General features: G+C 38.9%; 1 protein-coding gene across 22 annotated transcripts in view, besides 2 other annotated features; it reads right to left on the bottom strand.

Annotated features, from left to right (window-relative positions):
• Positions 1–27,452, bottom strand: part of TPRG1 (tumor protein p63 regulated 1) — a 328,078-nt gene that overhangs the window by 28,475 nt on the left and 272,151 nt on the right. The gene's annotated exons all lie outside the window — the stretch shown is intronic.
• Positions 10,508–10,557: an enhancer, noted in NCBI's record as "active region_20978". NCBI's record gives its function as "activates an Ori minimal core promoter by ATAC-STARR-seq in GM12878 lymphoblastoid cells {active_cell/tissue: GM12878}" and the evidence as "EXISTENCE:reporter gene assay evidence [ECO:0000049][PMID:35858748]".
• Positions 23,706–23,895: an enhancer, noted in NCBI's record as "active region_20977". NCBI's record gives its function as "activates an Ori minimal core promoter by ATAC-STARR-seq in GM12878 lymphoblastoid cells {active_cell/tissue: GM12878}" and the evidence as "EXISTENCE:reporter gene assay evidence [ECO:0000049][PMID:35858748]".

The following is a 27,452-nucleotide window of genomic DNA, read 5'->3' as shown; positions in this document are numbered from 1 at the left end:
ATTATTCAAATGTTTACAGTGATACAACACTTTTATCATATAATCTCCCTGTCACTCTCCATTTATTTATTTTAAAAAGCAATAGCAACTACAACAGACACCTATTTCTTCAACCACTCCTCTTTTGACAAGGTCAAAGTTGCTTCACCAGCCAATTGCTTCGCCTTCTTCTGAACATGTTCTAGTTTTCCAATGTCCTTATTTCTAGTTTTCCAATGTCCTTATTAAAGTATGTGGCCATAAAAAGGAAACAATACTACAACAGTGATCCAATCACTATGGAATATGCCATGAAACACCCTCCTTCTGTTCATCCGTATACAGATATACAGATCTACACATAATTGTGTATGTCTGTGTATAATTGTATATATATCCTTATATAATTGTAATCGTCTGTATATTTGCAATTTAGCCAACAGCAACATTAGCTGTGTTGGTGATTTACCACATTGCTGACTCACCTGAAATTCACCATCAAATATAATTTCTAATTTCTAAGCTTTTTCATACCTGCTTCTGCTAAACTACATTGTGAAGAGTTGGTTTTTCAAATTAACTTTTGAAGAAATTAGGCATGGAAAATACAGCTCACAGTTAAATTCCATCTTTGGCACCTGATCTTTCACAAAGAAGATTTTGATCAGAAATTGTGAGGCAGAGAACAAACTCTCCTGATGACTTATTTAGGCTAAATGCTCAAGGCAAAAGCAAAATAAATTGAGTTTGTTCTGTCCTGGTAAGACCAGCATTGACTTACCAACTCATCATGAAGTGTACCTCCGTTTTAGAAACAGTTCTTGAATTAAGGGAGATAAAGCCCCAAACGGGTCAACAAACCAAGAAACAAAAACGCAAACTCCTATCCTGGTCAAGGCTTAAGAAACAGTCTAAATGTTTTTTTTTTTTTTTTTTTAAAGCATCATTTTAAAATGAAACTAAGTAAATCATCTTTCCCCACAACATAATTAGGATGTGGCAAAACGTTTCACTATGTGGCTAATTAATTCTATTTGCATTGTAAGCATTATCCAAAATACTGTAAGAGCCAGAAAGACAAAGTTTGAGCACGGTCTTTAATTAATCCTGCATTATGTCTAGTAAAACATCACGCGCCCTTGAGAACTTCCAATCATTTAAATGAAAATGTGCACGTACACACAATCCCCTAAAGATGCTTGGGATATCAATGAAGCTTTCCACTACCATATCCCCACACATTTCTACAGAGAGCAGAGAAGAAATGAGTCTCTGAATATTAAAGCGACTCCTTCATAATAATTTAAGGGTCAAAGAGACCAAGGCCTTTTTTTTTTTTTTTTTTTTTTTTTTTGCAATCTGAGTAGTACCCAATAGAGTTTATGTTAACTAATGAATACTAAACAAAATGAATCTAATTTAAAGCCACAGAGATAATGTAGTTTAAAAGATGTAAATACTGAACTCTAACTTAGCAACAATATTATTCATTCCACAAATGTGTACTGAGCTGAACTGTGTTCACAACACAGCCTTGGCATTGTTGATCAAAGACGAACAAGGAAATGCCTCTGCATTCAGGTTGCTCACAGTCTACTAGGAAAGATACGGGTTCTAAGAAAGACAGGAGAAAACTGAGGGGAGAAGCTTTCATTACAGAGGGCAGATTCCACATCTGATTTGAGGATAAGTCAATTTTGGAAGAAGTGGCGATTTAACCAGGGCATGAAAAAGTATAATGAGAAATGGTCATTCAAAGATTGGAGAAAGATTATTCCACATAGAAGCACATAAAACAAAGGCGTGAATGTGGGAAAGTGTTGGAGTTTTTCTACTTCTCACCGTAGGTGAGGTAAATAATTAGCATTGTCCTAAAGCTTATGTAAATGAGGAGTTAATGGGTGCAGCACACCAACATGGCACATGTATACATATGTAACAAACCTGCGCATTGTGCACATGCACCCTAGAACTTAAAGTGTAATAAAAAAAAAATTAACCAGTTTCTTCCTGCTTGCGCGCTGTGTGTGTGTGTGTGTGTGTGTGTAACTGTAAGGGTTGTGTAATTAAAGGTGACACAGAAAAGGGAACATGGTCTACACATCTTCATATTCATTGTCTTCAAATATTATAGAAATCTTATAGATAATATTTGCTATATTTATGAGGAAATTAATGTTCAAAGAACCTATTTCAAATTGCTGAAGTATTGTCTTTGGTCTATTTGAAACAAGACCTGTGTATTTCCCCCTGCGATACACACCCCACTTACCACCTCTCTAAAGGGGACACAGTGGAGCTGGGGAGCTGGTAGCATTTTTTTACAGGTAAGCCTCCCACAGAAATCTTGTAGACTAATGAGTGTTTCAGTAAAGTTAATTGATCATTCCAGTTCAACCTTTGCTCATTTTCTTTCACTCAACAAGCAAAGTGGGCCCCGAGCACAAATTAATCCATTATATATGATTTATATGGCAATATTATGCCATAAATCTGGTTATTATATAATTTGGAATTGGCTCCAAGAAAGAACTGGCTTTTCCTCCCCCACTTCCCCATAGGATCTTCCATATCACTGCAGAGGTGACATGGTATCTAAGTACTTGATTCCTGATCTCTTCCCTTTTATCATTCTCCAGAAATTTAAACTTCAATTTTCAAAATCACCAGTCAGTTTCCTATGGGCATAACCATCTGGTGAGAAAAGTAAGCTAATGAGACATTCACATGTTTTGTATACCCAACTATGCTTTTTTCTTAGCCCTTCATACAGTATACACAGAAGAAAAGGTACGTGTTGAATGTTCCAGTGTAGCTCAAACTTAGTGTTCATAGGGAAACAGGCCAAAAGGTTGGACAGATAGATTGCAGACAGGTAGTAGAAGATATTGGAAACTAGGCTCAGGAGTTTATCTTGCAAACAATTGCAGACTGAGGCAAGCTTTTAATAAGGGAAGAGATATGAACTGGGCCGTGGCTTTGACTTGTGACGATTAAATGGTCGGAACTTGACAGACAAGATGGATTTTGGAGAGTAAAAGCAAGGGAGAACAGTTAGGAGCCTGTGAGTGGAGGAACTGTGAGGACCTGAAACAGGGAAGTGACAAAGAGAATAAAAAGGAGGAGACAGACTTGTGAGTCAAAGATAATAGAATCTTAATCTTTAGATGGAAATATCTTTGAAAAATTGCACCATGTCCCTTTCTATTTTGTGGTCCTGAGGTTTTCATCCTTGATGAGTGAGAAGACACTGATGCCCTTAACCAGAACAGTCAGTGCAAGTTTGGTGGGAGGGGAAATGAGACTATTCCTGAGCCTGCTGAGCTGCAGGAATCTGTGGGGTAGGAAACCTATCCTTGGCACCTTTTGCTCCCTTTCCCGCCACACCTTTCCCCATCTTCCCTCTGGCAATCCCTTTTCAGGGGTGAGAGAGCCTTTAGTTATCCAGGTCCCAGATCAGGAAACCCTCAGTTTTCAGTGCAGGAGGAAAGAAGAAAGTGGCTAGCCCTGCAGGCACATTGCACCAGCATAGTTCCTGGTGTGTGACAGCGGAAGTGGGAGGGGAGAGCCTCCAGTCCAAACACAGCAGGACTCTAACAATGTTGAAATTGGGAGCCAAGCTAAGGACACTGCCAGAGGAGCCTCCACATCATCTCATTTATAACCTGGGGAACAACAAAACAGACATGGGTGGTACGGAATCTCTCCCCATAATCTGGCATCAAGTTGCCAACTTTAAAGAAAAGAAATGCCTAATGAATGACATAAACCAATTAGACAGCTGTCTAAACTGAGCCCAAGCTCTGAAACGGAGGTTGCCGGTTCCTATTAAGCAGAGTGATCCAAACAAGGGCCAAAACAAGCACATGTGGGACCCCAGAATGCCTGAATTTTGGCCTGTCTCAGAAAGCAGCCCAATACACCCTGCAGAGGCCCCTCTCATCCATCCCCTTACCTCCAAGGACACCTTTCTAAACAATGCTTCCTAGCCTTCCTTGTGGGATAATCTGGCCAGCCATCTCTGCTCGTTGCCAGGTAGTATTTAATAACAAAATCTTGTAAGAGCCAGTCACTAAGGGATGTGTGGGAAAGAACTGAGATTTATGATAACTTGTCACCTTAAAGCTTTTGCTCAGTTGTTTTCTGCAAGTGTGTATGGTTTATTCCATAAAGAAGTTAAAGCCACCCCTGAAATTGTTCTCTAGCCCCAAATTACTATAAGTTTGAAGAGTAGGGAAGAAGAGGTAAGAGTGGTGGTAGCCATATATTAATTGAGCACCTATCACATGCCAGGATCCTTCTGTTATTTCTGTTAATCTCCCCACAGCCCTATTAGCTGTGTGTTATTATTATTATTCCATTTCATAGACAGGGAAACTGAAAACAGAGAGACAAAGCAGTTGTTCAAGGTCACCAAAATAGTATGTGGAAAACACACTCACTAGCTCCAAAGGGTGGTACTGTTGATAACCTAATGTAATTACTATTTTTACATAAAATTTAATGGGAGGGAAAAAAAACAGGTAGAAAGTACAGATAAGCAAAAAAAAAAAAAAAAGCAAAAACTTCAGAAAATTACATTGAGTCCCACCACCCAGAAATAATCACTGTGACTATTCTGTGTAAATTCTGCAACTGCAGAAGTTTTAACTGCCTTTTTTAGAGTCCCTACACTGATGCTGCAAAAAAGTTTTAAAACAGATTACATCTTATTGCTATATTTAGAATCATCAAGAAATAACACAGAAGATGTTTTCAAATTGTTTAAAAAGGGAATTCGAAAAGTAGTTTTCAAATCCTACTATGTGCTTGAATGCTGCTTGGCATCTGGAGAATTAGAAGACATTTGTGTTTTAGTACCTGTCCTCCCGGAGCTCACCTGAAATGTCAGCCATTGATAAGTAGAAGCCTACCCAGAGCTCTGGGATGTCTCTGCAGTAGCAGCCAGAGGAGCCCACTGTAACCATCACCAACTTTCTATGTGACTCTGGCCAAAACACAATGCTCCCAGCTTCAGTTTGTTCATCTCCCAATTGGTGTGTCAGTGTTGCCCTGCTTAATGATCAGGGTTGTTTTCAGGAGCTAATGAGATATATATTTGTCAAAGCTCTTTGCAGTAAACAAAGCACTATGCAAATAAAACATAGTTGGCAAGATCACTAAAACAGGGACTTGGCTTCTCAGATTAAGAATTGTCGTGGGGTTAAAAGCATAACAATACTACTTCTTTAGTCCCCTAAATCAAAAATTAGTGTGAAAACTAAAACCAAAATGCTACCATAATAGTATCATATCCATTCATTGGTGTGACACATAAATAGTAACAGTGATGATAATAATGATGGCTAATACTTATTCTCTTTGGCACCATAGTTTCAAACACCTTGTAAATGTACTGCATGGCTTTCTCATTTAATCCTCAGAATCACCCTATGAAGAGCTATATTATTATCTCCATTTCAGAGATAAAAGAGACTCCATTAAAATATACAAAGTATTTTTACATACAAACAGATCACCTCATTTGGTCCTCATATCCCCATTATTATTTCTGTTTGGTTGGATGGGTGAAACTATGATTCAGAAAGACAATTTCCCTAAGGTCCCATAATTTGTTGAAGCCAGACCTAGGTTTAGAAATGGGTCTACCGGCTGGGTGCGGTGGCTCACCCCTGTAATCTCAGCACTTTGGGAGGCTGAGGCAGGCGGATCACGAGGTCAGGAGATCGAGACCATCCTGGCTAACATGGTGAAACCCCGTCTCTACTAAAAATAAAAAAAATTAGCCAGGTGTGGTGGTGGGCCCCTGTAGTCCCAGCTACTCGGGAGGCTGAGGCAGGAGAATGGCGTGAACCCGGAGGCGGAGCTTGCAGTGAGTGGAGATCGGGCCACTGCACTCCAGCCTGGGTGACAGAGCAAGACTCCGTCTCAACAACAACAACAAAAAGAAATGGGCCACTAAAGATTTTTCAACTAAACTACAGCTGTCTCAGGATTCAGTCACACAATCTTAGAAAACTTTCCCATCCTGTTAACTTTTCAACTAACTCCCCAACATCAGCACTTGTACTCACTATTATGAGAGGGTCTCAGCCTGCATCATTCAAAACACATCTGCAAAGCTTTTTCAAAATGGCCTCTCCTAAACGTCTTCTTCTACACCTGCAATAGTCCACAGTAAAACCTGGCCAAACTTCTCTGCCCTGGAAACATTCAGAGACTTTTTCCTTCATAAAATGTTATTCCTTTCAAAGAAAACCAGTAGCCTCTTAATAAAAGCTGCCACTTAATTGCTGATTTCATCGATGGAAAACGTATCTGTTTGTTCTATTTATTCCTAACAGGGGTTAAGACAAAGCTTTCTATGTTAATGTGCTCAACGAAAGATATCATCAAGTCATCTTCCATATTTCTCTTTACTTTATCACACTCTATCGATTCATCGCTGAAATGTGGGCTTTAAGACATGGATGAATGTAGACATGAGTGTGTGAGTGTTGGGAGGAGGTGTTAAGTGGTTTAGAACAGGTAAAAGGAGGGAACCATGTAAGTTAATTAACTGGCAGAGGAAGGATGGGACATATATGGGAAAAATCAACGTGTCTGATTTGGCAAGGTCATGATTTATATAAGTGAAATCTAGAAATAGATAGAATAGAAAAGTAGATTAGGACCATAATGCAAAGTTCTTATAAGTCAGGCTATGAAGCTGCACATTACTGCTTCTCATATTTTGCCAGTAGAACACCCCCACTGCCATAGAGCCATGACCACTTGCCATAAACACAAAATTTATTTGCAATTGTTTTATCATTAAAACCATATAATTATGTTTCCTATTGCATTTCATTTACATTGGTTGATTTTAACATAAAAGCAATATCTGAAAATGTACACCATTTAATTGATTAAATTTAGGCTTCAGGTAGATATGGCATGTTTATCCTGTGGCTTCTTGTAGTAGCTATAACAACTCTGTTACCTGAGATTTTCTGTAATCCCATTTATAAAGCATAAGTAGATAATAGAGCATCGTGGGCAAAAATCTGAGCAAAGATATAGGTTGATCAGCATGGTATTTTAATAAGGTAATCTGATAGATTTAAGTTGAATAGATTGAAAGACTGGTAAGACTGAAAGGGTGATACAATAATCTCATAGTACTTAATATTTACCTAGTGCTGCTGTATTAGGCACGTTAAAGAAGTAGTCTCAATTAATTCTCACAATTTTCTGAGTAAAAACTATCATCATCCCCATTTTACAGGTGAAGAAACCAAAAGAAAGATAATTTAAATGACATTTCAAAGACTACGTAGTCAACAAGTGATTCAACCTGAACTTAAGCAGGGGCAGCAGGTCTCCAGAATCTCAGCTCTTAACCACTACATAGAATCACAGTCAGGAAAACATCAAAATCATTGAAGCAAGAGAAAAAAAAAAAAACACCCAAAGTAAGATCATGACAGTAGGAACAGAAAGAGTTAGGTTTGAGAAATGTGGCAAAGATTGACTTGATTGAATTTGACAACCTGATTGGATTTGGGGTCGGGGGGAGAAAGAAGTGAAAAATGACTGATTTTTTAAGCCTGCATAATTGGGAAGATAATGAGGCCATCCTCATAAATAAAGACCTACAGAAGAGAAGCAGGTTTTTAAGGAAGCAAGATATAGGGGAAAGATGATGAGTCTGAGATGCCTGTGGGGTATACAGGTGGAGACAGCCACGGGGAAGAAGTGCAGGTGCAGTGTGTTTCCCATCACTCAGCAATCAGACAAGCTAAAGGTCCAATCAGCTTTTTTCAGCCCAGGTTTTTACTCTCTTAGACTTACCCTCTAATACACAGTACATCGGTGAGTGACACATGATTATAAAATTTTCCATAAATGCTTTTGGGGAGGAAAGGCTCACGTACAGATACAGGCACCCATAAACTCGGTTACCTCATAACAAGCTGGAATCTTGCAAGACCATCTTATGCTGATTATTTTCAAAACTCACATTATTAGGCACAAATCAGTGGTTTGCGATAGATGCAGTAACAGCTGAGTAATTTCTTTCTTCCTTGCAGCAAGCTGCCCTTACAAAGGTTAATTTGCTTATGCATCATAATGAAGTCTATTTAAAGTTTTGAAACTGCGACTTAGCTCAGAATGATACTGTTTGCCCAGAGTTAGGCTTAGAGGTGAGAAGCCTTTGACCCCACTGAGGTGGGAAGAGGAAAGAAAAGCAAAAGGGGACATTGGAAAGCGGAATCAAAGGTTAGCTGGAGTTAAGAAGAGATAGAATGCAAAGGCCCCAAGGTCATTTACAAAGCTGAATATGCTTCAGTTACTGGTTTATGATCAGGATATTGATCAGGTTTGCACCTTTAAAAAACAAGCATATCATCCCAAAATTAGATGGTGAATAGTATTAATATATAGCTTTTCTTAGTCATCCTATGTGCTATAATATTCATTCCTCTTCTCCTGCAATGTACATTGGCCTTTGAAGTTTTGTTTTTACTTCTCACAACAATCTCACTACACGTTGCAGAAAAAAATCCTAAAGTTTATATAGACTTTGTTATATTAGTTTATCACAAATAGCAGCATCTTTTTTTTACATACAATGTTATTCATTTTTTAAAAAGTGAAGCAACTACATTATTGATCTGAATCTAAACATTTTGAAAACTAGTTTTATTATTTAGCTAAATTTTGGTTGTGTATACACACACAACCACACACACACAACCATATACACACATAATTTTCTCTCCTCTCTCTTTTTCCTCTGTCTCTCTCTTTTCTCTCTCACTGTCTCAGACATAAACTTTGTGTTAAAAATTTAAATTTTTTAAATTTAAATTTTATTAACTTAAATTTTTTTAATTTAAAAATTAAAATTCTCACAATTTTAAAGTTGGGTGATAAAGTCATTTCATCATTATGAACTCAATTCTCAATCTTTTCGCAAATTCCCACCTAAAACGTTCTTTCATTAAAAATCACACCTTAAAATTGGGGGAAAATAGGCAAAAAATAAACACATTTGAGTTTTGCTGAAAGAATGGCCTTTTTATTGAAAATGCTGGTATTTAAGCATCATTAGAAAAATCCAGTGATTCCTCTAGGCAATATTAACTCGGCATCTTTAAAGAAACAAGTAGGCTGGGCATGGTGGCTCACGCCTGTAATCCCAGCACTTTGGGAGGCTGAGGCGGGCAGATCACGAGGTCAGGAGATCGAGACCATCCTGGCTAACAGGGTGAAACCCCGTCTCTACTAAAAATACAAAAAATTAGCCAGGTGTGGTGGTGGGCGCCTGTAGTCCCAGCTACTCGGGAGGCTGAGGCAGGAGAATGGCATGAACCTGGGAGGCGGAGCTTGCAGTGAGCCGAGATCGTGCCACTGCACTCCAGCCTGGGCAACAGAGCAAGACTCTGTCTCAAAAAAAAAAAAAAAGAAAGAAAGAAAGAAACAGGTACTGTGTGTGCAACCTTTTTTTCTTTTGCCATCCACATATAGAAATCTATAAAGCCAAAATACTTGATTCCTCTGCCTAGAGATGACCGTGCAACATTGTCTGGACAATGAGACAAGTAGAATTCCCCAAGGAAGATCTTTTCTTCAATTGTAAAAGGCAAAGCGTCACTGGGAGAAAGCTCTTTGCCTCCTCTCTTTTCCCTTTCTTCCTGTCTGAAATGCAGAGTGAGGCTACACGGTGCAGTGCTATCTTGCAACCATGCGGTGACAAGCATGATGAATGTCAGGGTCTTCAGGCAAAAGACAGCAAAATGGAAAGACAAAAGGAGGGTGAGGCCCTGCTGCCCTCCGTGAGCCATCAATCCTGAAATTCATCATCAACAACTGTATAAGCCTCTGTTAATCTCAACAGCTGTATATTATCCTTACAATTAAATCACCCAAGCTGACCCAAGTGAAAAAGAGGAGTTCGTTAGAAGGATACAGGAGTGCCTCCCATCACCTGACAGAGAACTGGAGCCTGGCCTCATAACAGATAAAGAAAAGAAAGTAGGAAGCTACCAAGGAAGCCTGCTGTCATTTCATCTCTCTCTGTCTCTGGTCATATGGTTTCCTATGTCTGAACTTTCCTGTGTGCAACTAACTGTACCTTATTCTCTCTTTGACAAGAGATCAGAGACATTCCTCTGTTTCCATATGCATGTGGCTGGCCTACAAATCTGAGGTTATGTGTTTTCCCATCCTTCTCCCAGTCCCAATTCTCAAATCCTGACTAGTATCTCTCAGTCCCAATTCCAAATACATAGGCAGGAGAATCTGATTGATCCTGCTTGAGAGAGATATCTGCCCCTATGTCCTGGAAGTAGGAGGTAATATGAAATAAACATGCATTCACTTAATTGCCTTCAACAACTATTTGTTGAGCTCCTACTCTGGATTGGCATTGTTGTAGACACAGAGGATGCATCAGTGAACAAAACCAAATCTCAGTTCTCATACAGCTTACCTTCTGGCATGGAGACAGGAAGGAAGTGAACAAATATATACTATGTGGCAGAAGGATATGATATAAAAAAAATAAAACAGAGTAAAGCAACAAGACTAATGCAGTGGGAAAGTTCCTGTTTTTCATAGGGTGGTCAGTGTTCTGGGAAGGTGACATTTGATCTGAGATCTAAAAAAAAAGAGGGAGTGATTATGTGGTATCTGGGGAATAGCATTCTAAGCAGAGAGGACAGCAAATTTAAGGCTGAAACCAGAAGCATTTTTTTGGCATTTTAAAAGAAGTACCAAGGAAGCCAGCATGTTTCTAGCAGAGTGAGCTTGAAGGTAAATTGTACAAATTAAGTCAAGAGAAGGGTCAGAACAAGACTTCTGAAGCTCCATCTTTGAGAGCAGGGACCTCACTCAGGCAAGACTAACATGCAGGAGACAACATCCCTCAAAAGTGTCTACTACAAACTGATATAAGTGAAATATTGTACTCAGAAAAAAAAATAAACTAGCATGTGTGGAAAGTGAGAGAAGTCTCTATGGAGATAGTACAAGGCAGAATCGTCTAAGGGGAAAATCACAGGCTTTGGAGTCAGGAGACTTGAGTTTGAATACAACTGGACAATTCGAGTTGTAGGACCTCGAGCAAGTGAATCAGCCTTTTTGATTCTCAGATAAAACAGAGTTACTACCCACCTTAAAGAATTACTCTGAGAAAGAAATTATGTACAATGTCTGTAATATTGATGTGAAAAAGGCTCTATGAAGAAAGTGCTCTGTGATCAAAAATGTTAGGAAACGCTTTGCTCTTTCAGACATTCACAATGGACATTAGTCTAATAATCTGGAAAGGTATCAGTAAGAAATCTACTTAGCTTTATGCAATCTGGTATTCCTTCATTTACTTGGAGCACTGAACACTTTGTTTTATGTGTGTGATTCTATGGAACAAGTCAGAAAAGATGTCCTCAAAGGGCCCTTCCATCTCTAAAACACACAGAACAGGTGCAGTGTCACTGAGGGGAGCTCCATAGCAGCCTACGCCCGCCTTTCCTCGCCTAGGCCTGGCAGGAAACATTCACAAGTGAAGGCCATCAAGCACTTTCCCAAACTTCTTATAACACCTTTCTTTTCCAACAGTGTGTTAACTAGTATTGTAGAAGAATAATGAAGTTCATTTTTAAGAAAAAGTGAGCATTTTTTCTGTGTCTTTTGGCTGCATAAATGTCTTCTTTTGAGAAGTGGCTGTTCATATCCTTCGCCCACTTGTTGATGGGGTTGTTTGATTTTTTTCTTGTAAATTTGTTTGAGTTCATTGTAGATTCTGGATATTAGCCCTTTGTCAGATGAGTAGATTGCAAAAATTTTCTCCCATTCTGTAGGTTGCCTGTTCACTCAGATGGTAGTTTCTTTTGCTGTGCAGAAGCTCTTTAGTTTAATTAGATCCCATTTGTCAATTTTGGCTTTTGTTGCCATTGCTTTTGGTGTTTTAGACATGAAGTCCTTGTCCATGCCTATGTCCTGAATGGTATTGTCTAGGTTTTCTTCTAGGGTTTTTATGGTTTTAGGTCTAACATTTAAGTCTTGAATCCATCTTGAATTAATTTTTGTATAAGGTGTAAGGAAGGGATCCAGTTTCAGCTTTCTACATATGGCTAGGCAGTTTTCCCAACACCATTTATTAAATAGGAAACATGCTGCTATAAAGACACATGCACACATATGTTTATTGCGGTACTATTCACAATAGCAAAGACTTGGAACCAACCCAAATGTCCAACAATGATACACTGGATTAAGAAAATGTGGCACATATACACCATGGAATACTATACAGCCATAAAAAATGATGAGTTCACGTCCTTTGTAGGGACACAGATGAAGCTGGAAACCATCATTCTCAGCAAACTATGGCAAGGACAAAAAACCAAACACCACATGTTCTCACTCATAGGTGGGAATTGAACAATGAGAACACATGGACACAGGAAGGGGAACATCACGTACCAGGGCCTGTTGTGGGGTGGGGGGAGGGGGGGGGAGGGATAGCATTAGGAGATATACCTAATGTTAAATGACAGGTTAATGGGTGCAGGACACCGACATGGCACATGTATACATAGGTAACTAACCTGCACGTTGTGCACATGTACCCCAAAACTTAAAGTATAATAAAAAAAAAAAAAGTAAAAGTGAGGAATTCAAAAGGGAAAAGAAAAATGCGGGGAGGGATGCAAGCAGAAAATGTCCTTCCCAACTTTAATGGAGAAACATTTATCCAAACCTGGGAAACGTGGGTGAGACTACAGAGGATACATGTCCTTGTAATATTGGTGCATCGGTGCATTCATTTTTGTTAAATATCATTGCCCTGTCCCTGATTTTCATACAATCTGGTAATAGGCCAAGGGAAAAGTCTCCAGTCATCTTATCTGTTCAATAACATAAAAATGGCAAAGTAAATTTAAAGTACTAACGCCTGTATCCACATCTTGGATTTATTTAACACAAGACTCAGGTTTGGACTCTAGAGCTCTGCTAGTTACTAGCTCTGTGATCTAGACAAGTAACTAACTTAGTCTCCTCGTGCCTCACGTTTTTCTGATTTTAAAGGAAGAAAATAATTGTTTACCTTCCGGATTATCGTAAAGATTAAATAAAATGATATGGTGATAATCCCTTGCCTCATGTAGATTTAACAAATGTTTATGAAATCAACAACTGACCAGTCACTGCTGATCGTTCCCCAACAGAAAACCTTCTCTCTGGGCTTTCATGAGCCACCCAATATTATTTTTAAGAGAACCTCTATAAATGTTAATTTCATAGCAAATAAACCCTAAATGTATTCAGTTACTCTCTTTTAAAACACATTTATTAAAATTAAAGCACTCTGATATCACAGAATCAAAAATTTCCAACAAATCATATTAGAGAAAATCTTGTTTGTTTCTTAATTTCTATTACTGATATAAAAGAGATGACACATTGCCTTTTTGAAAGAAACACTGGAATAAAACATGAGAGTCACATAGGAGGCATTTCCAGTCCTCAACTCTGGTAGAAGCTGAATGTCATTTCAATGGACATGAAAACCATTACCAGTCTATCAAATCTGAGATGTACCACTGCTTTAAAAAACTGGCACAAATATGAAGCACGAATAATTGAGGTTTTATGTAAGCATGAAAATGAGTGGTCAAGGAACTCCAAAACCTTTAATAATTAATACATAAACTCTCTGGTAATTTAAATTATGGGCTACGTAACTCAGACCCAATACATTATTTCACCTTGAGAGTGGGTTGATTTAAAGTTTCCTTTTTAGATATGAATGGTTTACTCGGTAATGATAATAAAAAAAGAACCACAAAATTCCACATATACAGCATCACTTCATCTAAACCAGCCCCAGCATGCAAGGTTGCAGAGCACTTAAACCCACACACTAAGAGTTTAACTTGAGCTTGGCTGGGGACTTGGATGAGACTTTCACTATTCAGACACAGAAAATATTAACTATCATCAAATCTGTCATTATCTTCCCATCCCCCCTTCCACATCCTCATCTCACGTATCTGATCCTTTCTCCCTCCAGCCAGCAGAGTGAAAAGCAGTGATTTGCTTAGTGGATTGTGGTTTTATGCGAAAAGAAAAGGGGCCAGCTGTGTATCCTTGTTCAGAGTAATCAAAACAGAGAGATGGGAAAGGTATTTCTTGAAATGCCCAAGGCATTGTGTAGAAAACACAGAAAATATCATTTTATTAAAGCAGTTATGAAAGAAAGGCAGAGAGAGGAATAGAGGAAAGGGAGAGAAGAAGACAGAGAGAGAAGAGAGAACGAGAGAAAAGGGGGAGAGAGGAAGAAAGAATTAACAAAAAGGAGAGAGATGGAAGAGGAAATGGGACAAAAAATGAGGCACAAAATACACGTTTAATACCCTCTCCCCCACTCTCTCTGTCTTTTGAACTGCATGTTCAGGCAAATACAGGTGTTAGAAGAGTATGTAGAAGTAGCAACCAGAGCTGGCCTGGCTTGCTGAAAGAACAAACGCCTACAAGATATGACTTATGGAGCACCTGGCTGACCCACTGCCCAAAATAACACCATGTTATCCACTGATGCCTAAGATTCCACTACCTATGCTGCTGCCTTTTTTTTTTTTTTTTTGGAAAGGACTATTATGCCTACTGACATTGCCCTGGGTTAAGAAACTTTTTCGGTCTATTTGCAAATATTTAAAAACCTCAGCCAAGGCGGGCGGATTGCCTGAGCTCATGAGTTCAAGACCACCTTGGGCAACATGGTGAAACCTTGTCTCTACTAAAATACAAAAAATTAGACAAGCGTGGTGGTGGGTGCCTATAGTCCCAGCTACTCAGGAAGCTGAGGCATGAGAATTGCTTGAGCCTGGGAGGCAGAGGTTGCAGTGAGCTGAGATCATGCCACTGCACTCTAGCCTGGGCGACAGAGAGAGACTCTGTCTCCAAAAAAATAAAAAATAAAAATAAAATCCTCTTGTGGGTGTCTTTCAAGGTCTTTTCTGGGAGCTGGTTTAGACCTTGGAGTAAAAGAAGAAATGATGAAGTCAGTAGGTGCCTTGAGATGGAAAACATGTCAAACCAGAAAGGTAAAGTCATTGAGGACAAATTTACTAACTCAACTAGTGCTCAATCTTTGTGAAAACAAGCTTACCATAGCTTTAGCTTGGATTTATACATTAAGAAAGATGAAAAAAATACTTCTTATATTATGATTTTATATTTATAAAATTACATGTCATATAATTAGGATAAAAAATGTCTCCATATCTCTTATACACACTCACGTGCACACACACACATATGCATCCACGATAACATAGTTCAATGGGTGATTGGCTCAGGATATAAATGACATTTTTAAACAAAAAATATTTTCATCTTTCTGTTTTGCTGTCCTCTACATTTCACTGTAGTTCCTCTCAGGGTAGTAACATGGCTAAAGGTGTACGAAGTTTCACATACAGACCCAACAATGTAGGACTTCTTCCCATTTTTTTAATCAATAAAGAACATGTTTTCCTTAAGTTTACTAGGAGATTTTCACATTTGTGGGAAGTGATATTGCTCAGTGGTTAGGAGCACATAGTCTGGGATCAGACTCCTAGGTGTGGACCTTGCTTTACCATTTATTAGCTGTGTTTCCTTGAAGCAGTTCCTTAACCTCTCTATTCGTTAGCTTCCTCATTTGTGAAATGAATAATAGTATCTACCTTATAGTGTGTTAAATGAGTTAATGTATGTAAAGACATTTTAACAGCATTTGGTTGATGGCAAGTCCTATAACATGTCAGTTATTGGGCCTGAATTGGGTCATACAGTCATGGCTAAGACACTAACTGACATGTAGGAGAGCTTGCCATCATTCTTCTCCTGGGGCTGCAGACCACCTTTCCTGAATCTCATGGGTCTCCCGAAGGAGAATAGATACGTAGTTAAAAGTGGTTCTGCTTAGGATGGGGGAAGGGCATAAGTGATTGTTGGGTAGGCAATCAAAACTGTCTGCTACATGTATTATATCCCTTAATCTTTAATACAACGCTATGATGCAGATAGTATCATTCATATATTACAGAGCAAATCCAAGACTCAGAGAGGTGAATTAATTTGCCTCAGGTAAGAGAAATAGCCATGGTAGGGTTACAGCTTTAACCCAGGCTATCTGTCTTCGAGTCCTGTGTTCTTTCTGTTATGGCAATCACCTTCCCTTTACCTTCCCCAAGCTTCTTGTTGGCCTCCATGTGCATAGGTTTCCATTGGTCCTGTTTAGGTGCATGTAGAGAAGTTTTAGATATGGGTCTCAATGCTGCAGCTTAGAGGAGTGGAAAGATACAAGATAAAGTAGGAAAGAGGGGCATAAAAAAGCTCTAAGTTTTTCAATTCCTATTATTAATACACATGTTATATGAACTGAGTCTCCTCTCATTCATGACACTCATACTTACAAAAAACATTTTATCCTATACGGAAAGAAGTCAATGTTCAGTAAGTCCTAGTTCGTCATCTAAAATGTCTTCCATTCATTTATATATATTATTCCATTCATTTATATATATCCATTCATTTATATATATTATTCCATTCATTTATGTATATCCACAGGTGCATTCATTCACTTCTATATTGCCCGTGGCTGCTTTCACTCTACACTCTTCACTAACCACTATGGTGCTAGTCCTGTTGTTTACAACAGGGCTAAACAACAGGTGCTGATATGAGATATATGTTAACAGATAAGTCCCTGAGCTACAAAAGAGATAGTCTAATATCACTAATCCCTCTTATTTTCCACAGCAGGAATTCTATCCAACCATACCATAATGGGAAGTGGCTACCAATCCCGCTCAGAGGTTTTCCAGATAAAGACCCGTGATCTACCAAATATTCTAACTTTTCCTCTAACTCTTCTGCCTATCTGAAGGACTACATTCAGTTTTCCCGTTCATTCATACACCCCTATAACTTTTCATAAACATCTTATTAGAGAAGGAATTACCTCCCTGTACTGTTTCATCCAAAGTCACAATCTATACGTTGATAGTGAGTGTCTAGAAACAACCTGAATTAGTAGTCAGGGTATTCTGCCTCTTCCTGATAAATTAGTTTATGCCATTTCTCCTCCAAACTGGGTGTTTTCCTTTGTTTCTGTTCTTAATTCAGTGAGGTTTTTCATACTACCTTTCATTGAGGGCTCACTATGTTCAGCATTGTTCTAAATACTTTATATACATCATCTAATTTAATCCTCACAACAACCCTTGAGAAAGGTAAAATTATGTCCATTTACAGATGAGAAAAAATAAGGTTTAGAGAGATTGAATAATTTACACAAATTAGTTTCTCCAAATAGATAATTATAGAGCTACAATCTGAATGAAGGTCCACCTGACTCCAAAGACAATAATCCTAAGCACTAGGGCATACTTGCCTCTTTCTGCACCCCAATTATGTCATAACGTATATTAGAGAACATTCCTGATGTCCTGGAATTTGCAGATTTCCCAGTTGTGATCTCTACCTTCAACTGAATCATGCATAGAAAGTTGAACAGGATAGAATAGGGCCCACCAAGAGTTGTTCTCCACTATTCTGACTCTCCACTCTCTTCAGGAAAAGGTTGGCAAACTAGGATCTGCTGGCCAAATCAAGCCCATTGCCTGTTATTGTAAATAAAGATTTATTGGAACACAGGTGTATTCACTCATTTATATATTGCCTGTGGTTGCTTTCACTCTACAACATCAGAGTTAGCAGTTGAAGCAGATACTGTATAGTTCATAAAATCTACGATATTTACTATCTAGTCCTTTAGAGAAAAAGTTTGCCTACCTCCACCACTAGAACAACTCTGATGTCAAATACATTTTAACAGGTTTCATTTATGGAGTTTTGCTCTTGTATGCAATATATACACTTCTTAGGAATATGAGCATAAGTACTTGGGACTGGAAATGGCATATTATACATGGGTATATACGAGTTCTAGTCCCTCTGCCTCATTTTAGCAAGGGGGTGATGGAAGAGAAAAGAAGATCACAGGCAGACCTGGTTTCAAATTCCAGGACATGGCTGTCAAGTGGTGGTGATGACACCTGGATTACAGTGCTTTGAATGTGAGAGACAAAGTTTATAGAGCTCTGGCACAATACTTGACACACAGAAGCATAGGAGATGTTTTCAGATGGAAGAAACTGAGGCTATGTTAGATCTTGACGCTTGCCAGAACAAGAATTTAGGTTTAGGTTTCCTAAGTCCTAAGTACCTTTTTTCCTCCATGATGCCACATTTAACCTTATTTAACAAGCATATGGACTACAGAGATGGATAGAAATTGGCATTGTTCATAGCATCATTTAGCCCATTACTGACAAGGGACATTATGGGTCTGGTTACACAATCTGCTCACAGTACGTAAAGCAATCTGCTTTCCAGCACCGGCTTCCAGCACTTGGAACTGGGTTAGAAGACACAGGCCTGTGAGAATCCAGACTCCTGACCTGTAGACCCCTGCTGCTCTCTCTCCACCCAGGGCACTCGAGCAACCACTGCCCAAATGCTCACCTTGGGAAGATTCACCTGATAACCCAGGCAATAGGTTACCCAGGCCCTTCACTGCTCCTGAGACTTGGGGTCAAAGCATCATTTTAACTCTACAAAGGCAGAATATTGTGGAAAGAAAAGCCACCAAGCCTAATCAAGCAACAAAGGGCATGTGGAAGGAGCATGGTGGCAGAGGCTTTAACATCCTGCATAGGAGTGGAAGTCCTCTGGAAAGAGGGTTGATCAGCCTGCAGACACAAAGCCTGAGAAAGGAAATGATGTAATGCTCACAAATCTGAAAGGTGCTTATGGATACAAAGAAATAGGCTTCGACGTGGCTTCAGAGGCAAAAGAAGCACTGATGAATCAGATTTGTAAAAACAGAAGTTTGTAACAGCTATATCTTATTTAAAAACAGAATATGCTGGCTGAGGAGGTAGTGAGTTCCCCATTTTTGAGTAAGTTGAAGCAGACACCAGTTTCCATCCTGCCAGCTAACATAATAGTGATTCCAACAATGTGGGATTGGACTCGTAAAGCTGTAAAATACATTTGAATTCATGGATTGATGCTTCTCATGCTCCTTAATATATTAATTTTCTTTTTTGGATTTAAGTTGCCTATACATAATTCCAACAATTATCTTTCTAATTAATTAATTGACTTTCAGCACTTCAAGACGTTAAACTTTGATTTAATCTTCTCTATTCTGTATACTGTCCAAACGTGTTCACTGCAAACATCTGATGAGTGACACATTTTGATTTGGTAAGACTTGAATCAAAAATGAAAAAACACATTTTAAAAAATGAAGCTTTTTTCTAATAGCATAGAGCTGTATTTATTCTGATTCTTAATCTTATTGACTGCATTTTTTCCACCAAACTATCAGACCACCCAAATCAATTCCTCTCTTTATTTTGAATTTACTGTTTTTTGAAATATGTATGTGGTTTTGAAATTCCCCTGGGATCTTATGGTATGAGGTGTTGTGTGCGTATGTGTGTGTTTAAGGTGTCTCCTTTATAGCTTGATAATTATGTTTGGAGTAAGTGCAGCATACGGACTTACCCCCATCACACACTCAATGCTTTAAAAGCCCTTGGAGGGCTGGGGATTGTAGGGAAAGCTGCCTTGGTTGGGCAGAAAGCCACATGGCTGCACATTTCTCACAGACCTCCTGTTCCATGTTACTTCCTCTATCTTTCTGTTGCCAAACCACCACAGTTCAGCTAATTCCTCCTCGAGCAGCGTCTCACCCAGTGCTGCAATTATAGTGGAGACAGAAATGGAGTTAGAAATGAAGTAACAAGGAGGCAAAGAGAGGAGGCTACTATGATTCATCCCGAAAGCATCTGGAGTCATTAAAAAATATATACGTTGTCCAGTAATCACTCATTTTATCCACTAACTAAAAAAAAAAGAAAGGAGGAAGAAATGAAAATTAGGTGTTTCGAAAAACCCTGCCTCTCTTGGTCTCTTCCCAAGGAAGCAGCTTGCTTAAGGGGGCATGTATATGTTCCAAGCAGAATGCCAAACCTGTCATCATAAATAATCCCAAGGTATTATTTAGAACAGCCATGAGCCAAGCCAAGGAAGAGACTAGGGATTGTTAACAATGTCTTGTTTTTACACTTTATGATTAATACACATGATCTATTAAGCTTTTCCTAAAATGAAATCCCTTAGACATCAGTACTTTAAAGCATGCTTGAGGCAATATTTGGGCACTTGTCTTATGACTTGGAATTTTCCAGGAGAAAAAAAGGAGGAAAACCATGACATCAGAGCCCAAGAATTTTTGCTCACAACTCAATTTTATGGGAAGTTGCCTATTCTGCTTTCTAGTAGTCACTCAACACTAAATTTCACACAATTCCTTTGAAACCAGCTTCTCCTGACTGCCACATGCCTACTAATGACATCCTTCTTCCCCCTTCAGAATTCCAGTCTTATCCATTTTAACTTTTTTAAAATGCTCTTCCACTTCTGCAATTCCAACCACAACCCCCTACTTCCAGCACCAAATCAAGATCTGCTGTTGTGCCACATCCATGGGGGCCACCACCTCTTCATCTTCACAGCCATTTCCATCGCTCAGCCTTTCATTCCCTCTTACCAATTCTATCGTGGCAGCCTCTTCACTGGCCTCCCTTCACACCCTCCTTACCTTGCCTTCCCCTCTCAGTGTTCCTTGTGTTATCATCACATATACTGTTTCAAGAGTCTTATTGGAGTAGCACTTCTCATTTTTTTTGCATCTAGAAAGCCCTTAACCAACCAATGCTTAAGGTTCACTTCCTTTAAGAAGCTTTCTATGATTCCCCTAGGTGTCTGAACAAGATATCCCTACAATACTTATGAAAATTATTGTATTTGCCTCTCTTCCCCACTGAAGACTTTGAGGTATGAGATTGTCTATTTTCTTTGAATCCTCAACAGTTTACATAGTGATGGACCTATAGAGGGCATGGCAAAATCTGTGTGTGTTTGTGTGTGTGAAATAACAATTGGATGCCCTTCCTCATTTAAAATGGATGCATTTCCCTATTTAAAATACAACAGTAGCTTTATTGCCACCAAGAAAATACAAACATTTTACACTGGCATTCAAAGCCTCTCCTATTTGCCCCAATCTCTAACTTTATCACATCCACAATACCTTCATTATATTCAAGCAAAACCACATCTGCTGATTGTTCTCTGAATTTCTTTCCTGACCATATGGCTTTATTCTTGCTATACCTTCTCCCTGGAATAGCCTTTCCCTCTAACCCTTTCTTCACATCCCAACTTCCCACCTGTTACTATCTTCCAAAGGTCTCGTCTTATACTATTTCCTTTGTGTTGCCCAGATGCAGTCACAACTGTATGAATTCTCTTTATTGTCAATTCGTCTCCACTGGCATATCCTTATTGCACCTTATAATATAGCTGTATATATACTTGACTTATCCTTGCTACTAGAGCATGTAGTAGTTATAGCAGGAACTGTGTTGCTTGGCTCTATATGACTAAAACATCTAAAACAGGGATGTACACATATTCATGCTCATTGCATGGTTATTCTATTAAGATTGTTTGGATCTGTATTGAAATAACACTGTATGTATGCTGTTTGTTGTTTAAGTCAAGTTGTCAAGTAGAAGATTGATTTGAAGTTCAGCTAAAAAGAAAAAGGCCTCAGACTTCACTGCAGGTGATTCTGTTCCCTTCTACTTAGAGCAATCAGAAGACATAAATACATGCAGTGCCTTAACCTCAATAAATATTTGATGAATGCATGGTTTTGTGGATTACAATTGTTAGTCAATAATGACTTCATACACACACACACACACACACACACACACACACACACACACACACTCATTACATTATCAAGAAATGCCCTTGGGAAAACTTAGTGATTCTTGTTTATTATTTATTTTTATAAGAAAAAAAAAGCACAGGTCAAAATTCAATTTAAGGTGGGAATTAACTGTTCATATGCTTTTAAATGTTATCAAAATTAATTGATTATCTTCAAATGTTTTTAAATTGGTAAGAAATACCTATTTCCAAGTTGAGGGACAAGCCTCACCTTTTTCAGTCTAGGGAAAAGAGAGAAGGTAGCAAATCCTGGAGATTATTTTGCAAAAATTTGAATCAGTGGTCAAAGTTTACTGAAAGTACATTAGAAATTCTGTGCTCTGATACCAGAGTCACAGAGAAGTCTCAGTGCTACTATCTGGGCCCTACCCTCGATTACTACTCACCCTACTACACACAAGAGTCATTCAAATCCCAAAAATCAGGGAAGTCACCGTCCCTTTTAGTCTAAGTTCTTATTTAAGTTCTGTACAATATAAAAACTCCCAAGAAAGAGTGGCTTTGACTGTAAAATTTTATCCAAACAGGCTGAACAAACGGCAATTACATTTTTCCCAATCCAGGAAAAATAATATTTTATGTAACTGGACCTAGAGACTAGATTGCATATTCCATCGTTAAGAGATTTCCCTCCAATGATAGTGAGATAACCCACTCAGCCAAAATTTTCATTTCATTTTAGCTCTAAGAAAATTATCAGAGCTTAGCTGAAGTAGGTGGGAGTAATGCCTATCCCATTTCTCACAGGCTCATCAGACTCTGAGGTCAGGGTCATTAGCCTTTTTCTAAAAATCACTCCATGGATCAGTGAAAAAAAAAAAAATCTGGGTTCCGAGAAGTTAAAAGATAAAGAATTTGAGGTATTAAGACAGTTGGGGTACAAAATAGCCTGTCATGAGGCCATTCAACATAATTTTTTCACTGGCTTCCAGACAAATACAACATTATTTCCACATAGGAGTGGGCAGACACTCCCTTAGTCATCTTTGTTGTCCTGGTCAATGGCAACATACCTGGGGGCAACTTCCAATGTGCCTGTGTACATTCACAATTTCTGTGGGTTTCTGTAAGCATGCTTTTCATTTAATGATTGTTGAGAACATTTCAGGCACAAGCTAAGGGACAGACCAATATAGGCCTATGGCTTGGAAGAGGGGTAGAGTGAGACATGAGAAAGCCCAGACACAGGGAGAATAAAGCACTGATTTTCAACTCCAGGCCAACCAGGGATGAGGAGAAATAAAGGAGGAAATACTGGGCCAGAGCTATCAAATGAGTGCATTCACTGCTTTTTTGGAAATTCCAAAGACTAAATAACATGACAGGATGCTATTTGCATTCTCTACTATGGCTAATAAATTAAACTTGTCCAATGTTACGTAGGGACAATATCAGCAAAACTGGGATTAGAACTCAAGTTTCCTGAGTCTACAACTTCCTGTCACACTGCCTGTCGCATACTCTAAGCACAGTTAGCCTAGTGAGGATGGGAATGAAGGACATAAAAACTTTTGATTTTCAAACTCTCTGCAGTATTTTCCCTGCCTCCTCATCTGAGTGAGGTGCATTTCTCTGCATGGCCACAGTTTTCCATGTTTAACTCCAGCAGCACTTGCCACATCATACTGGAATTGAGATTTTACTTTTCTACCTCTCCAGCCATACAGTAAGCCCTTAAAAAGAAAAATGTTAGCTCTGGAGTGTTTGACAAGTAATAGGAAGTAAATAGTAGTTGAATTAATAAATAGATTCTTGATTCTGTATAGCTACAGAATAAAATACTAGGACCAACAAGTGACAGCTTCAAGAGGAGCTGATTAGAGGAGCTGATTTTCCCTCAACACATTCTAACTAGATTCTACCAGAGTCAGAGAGGCCGAGCAGGAAGCAGTGGATTCTCTTTCACCAGAAGCCTTCAGAGGCTGGATAACCACTTGTCAGGATCACTGGAGAGAAAATGCCTGCTTTGGATGGTCTACTCTTTAGTAATCTATGGCTATTCCATTACAGACCCCAGACCCCATCAGAAATAGAAGAGTCTCTAGCACCACCTTTCTGTAGCTTGGAGTACTTTATAAATGTCTATCCTTGTCTGAGCTGCCTAGTGGACCTACTGATCCTATTTAGTATTGAGCCTTTGTAGAAAAGAAAGAGAGGGAAGGAAGGAAGGAAGGAAGGAACGAAGGAAGGAAGGAAGGAAGGAAGGAAGGAAGGAAGGAGAAAGAAAGAAAGAAAGAGAAAGAAAGAAAGGAAAGAAAGGAAGGAAGAAAGAAACGAAGGAAGGAAAGAGAGAGAGAGAAAGATAAAGAAAGAAAGAAGAGAAGAGAAGAGACTTGGCAGAAGAAGTCTGTGGTTGGGAAGTCAGCTTAATCTTCTACTACTGAGCTGATTTGAAGAACGAGACTTGCCCAGATTTCCTGAGAAGCACTTTACAGACACAATAAGCAACAGTCTCGATGTATATTAGTAGGAAAAAAAAATACACACAAATTAAATCTGAAAGCTCATCAGAAACTTATAGCTCACCTGAACTATCATACTGAGGCCTCAAAAGGAAACTCATCTAGAATCACACAGCCAGTCCTGGCAGAGTTGGCACAAAATTCTGCTGATTACAAGGCCAGAATTCTTTTCATTACCCAATGCTGTGAAGCCCACTATAATATAACACTTAATTATACAGGTTCAGGAATACAAGTCAAAGCAGATCCCAAATATAATAATAGATGCTTGCATTACATATGGGAAAAGCATGCTATAACATGGTTAAACGATGACATGAATAAATTATAAAGGGATTGATTGCACTGTGTTTTTCCCATCAAGAACTAAGTTGTACTCCTATATCATGTGGGACATCTGTGCTGTAAACTATAAAACACATGATTTCATTAGAATCCAAAACAAATGGATTGGGGCATCAGCGCGTATAGGAAAGGCAGAGTGCACAAACACCACATTAGGCTTTTCGATATACCCACTCTTTTAGACTGACCAGATACCAAGCAAAGTAGTTGCTTTTTATCTCTATTTTTACAGATGAGATCGGACTTAGAGCTACGGAGAAGTTAACATGTCATCATACCACAAGTACACAAGTAAATGAGAATCGGGATTCAAATCCACACTTGTTTGGTTCCCAAGCACATGCTTTTCCCCAAAAGATCAGGATACCTCAGTCGTCCATGTCTCTGTAAATGTGTTTAACTTTACATAAGTCACTTTCCCTCTTTGGGTCTTAGAAACTCTCTAAGGTCTTTTCTAGTTCTAGAAGTTCCTCTGATGCAAATATTCAAGACTTGAGAAGAAGTTCTTGTGTAAATTCTATCCAAAAATAAACAATGTAAAACTTACGCATGCACAATACCCAAAATATCTAGATTACTTTCTTTTCTATTTTCTGCTATGGCACATTTATCAAGATTTGTCTGAATGTTGGCACCCACTGAGGGCCTTCAGTAAAGAAACAACATATTCACAGTTCCTTTATGTGCATGTGGGCAAGCTTAAGTTAGACATATACTATATGCAAGACTCTGCAAACAGCTGCAGATGAGACAGGCATCATCATAAACACAGGCAGGAGTCAACTAGTGCTGACAGACAAAGGCCATCATGTGAATAGAGGCCATCTCAACTCTGCACTCAGGTGGGCTGTTTCTCTACCTTTGAGCCAACTGATTTTATAAGATTGCCCATGTATTCGTCTAAAGCAACCCATCCCTTCAAGGCACTGTGTTACAGTAGAAAACGCCCTACCTCACCTAGGAATAAAGAAACCCAGCTCTACCGTCATTTCCCAAGGACTTTAGTAAAGTGACTTCACATTCTAGTGGGCCTCAGTTTCTTCCTTTTTAAAATCAAAAGTCAACCACTCTCCTGCCTTCACTATGAAAGTGTGTGTGTGTTTGTGTGTGTACCCAATCAAATAATGAGCAAGCAAAGCCCTTGCAGATTCCAGGATGCTAACGTATCATGAGCATAAAAATAGAAATGAGATTTAGATTTTTGCTGCTGGCTTTATTATTATTATTATCATTATTTTGAGTAGTCTCATGGTAGGAAAAAACATGTTTCAATGTCATACGGATCTGTGTTTCATCTCAGGTAAAGCACTGGCTAGCTTTGTGGCCTTCAGGATGTTTGTTAATCTTTCTCTGCTTCAGTTTCCTCAGCTGCAAATGGACATAATGGCACCCGATAGTGATGATATTTGAAGTCACAATGACATATTTAAAGAGCCGAATACAGTGTCTCATCCACAGTGGCTATTTAATGCATTGTAGTGGCTACTGTATTAACCACTTTTTTCACATGGCCAGTGACAAACAGTGGGAAAGAAAGGATCTCCCTGCCTGCCAACCCTAGCCCTACCAGCCATTCCAGCTGCATGCCTCACTGGCGTGGGGACCTGGGCTCCACATTCAGTGCTGACTGAGCCTGGGAACACTGCAGCCTCCAGCACTGCCATTCTGAGGTTCCACAGTCTACCACTGGAGCACTTCTGCTGCCACCCAGCAACTGCCCAAGGGAACTGCATGGATTTCAGACAAGTAGAATGTATTTGAAATCTCAGAAGCAATTTGAAAGCCTTTTCCTCATCCACAACAATTTACAAAGGCATGAGGAGTTCAATGCCGGGATGAGATCTAATTCAAAATTCCTGACACGGATATCCAGGCATGTTCCCTCCAATATGGTATAATTTCTGTAAAACCACCTGGACCTTTTTTTTTTTTCTCTCTTCAGCATGTTATTATTATTTTTCTTAAAAGTAGCCAGAAAGCAATTTTAAATTATCAAATTTTATTTCTGAAGATCGGACTTTGAACAACATAGCTAGTTTGTGCTCTCGTTACTCTACAGACAAAAAAGAAGAAGAAGAAGAAGAAGAAGAAGAAGAAGAAGAAGAAGATCCAGAGAAGAGAAAAGATAGCCAACGTCAGGGAGCCTGTTTATGAAAAGTCAAAACTCTATATCTACTCAACCAATGCTCCATTTCCTCCATGTTTCCACAGAGCATGTTCCTTTTTCCTGGTGACATAAAAAGAACAAAACCAAAAAATGCTAGAATTTGTAAATTTAGGTCAATGAAAAAACTCCTTAGCTGTTTACCCATCTTTAAGTCTTACTCTCAGCTTTGCCATGGAATTCTTGACCACAGTCCCCTAAGACCACTGTAAAATGAGGGAGATTAAAGCAAACGCTGAAAAATCCCTTGTAGCTCCAAAAGCTTGTATTTCTTCTCACCTACTTTTATTTCTTGAATTATATTTATAGCATCTTGGAAGGCTCTAAACACATCATAATTAACAGGGTTTTTTTTTCTGCAATGAATCAGAAGAAACAAATCCTCTGCCAAGTATCCCCAGCACACATGCCATTCCTCCAGATGAGTTCTCAGGAAATACACCCTGCACAGCTCCGGGACTCAATACAATTTCTTGAACATGCCTCTTCTCACTTGTATTTAAACTGGCGCACCTAAGTAAGGTCTCCCCTCTATGAAGTGATCCACATCAGCAAATATTATTACAACTCCTAATGCAAAAGGA

The sequence above is a fragment of the Homo sapiens genome, chromosome 3, assembly GCF_000001405.40.
Source record: "Homo sapiens chromosome 3, GRCh38.p14 Primary Assembly".
Lineage (NCBI taxonomy): Eukaryota > Metazoa > Chordata > Mammalia > Primates > Hominidae > Homo > Homo sapiens.
The sequence above is the reverse complement of the archived record's forward strand: the minus strand, read 5'-3'. Positions and strand labels throughout refer to the sequence as shown.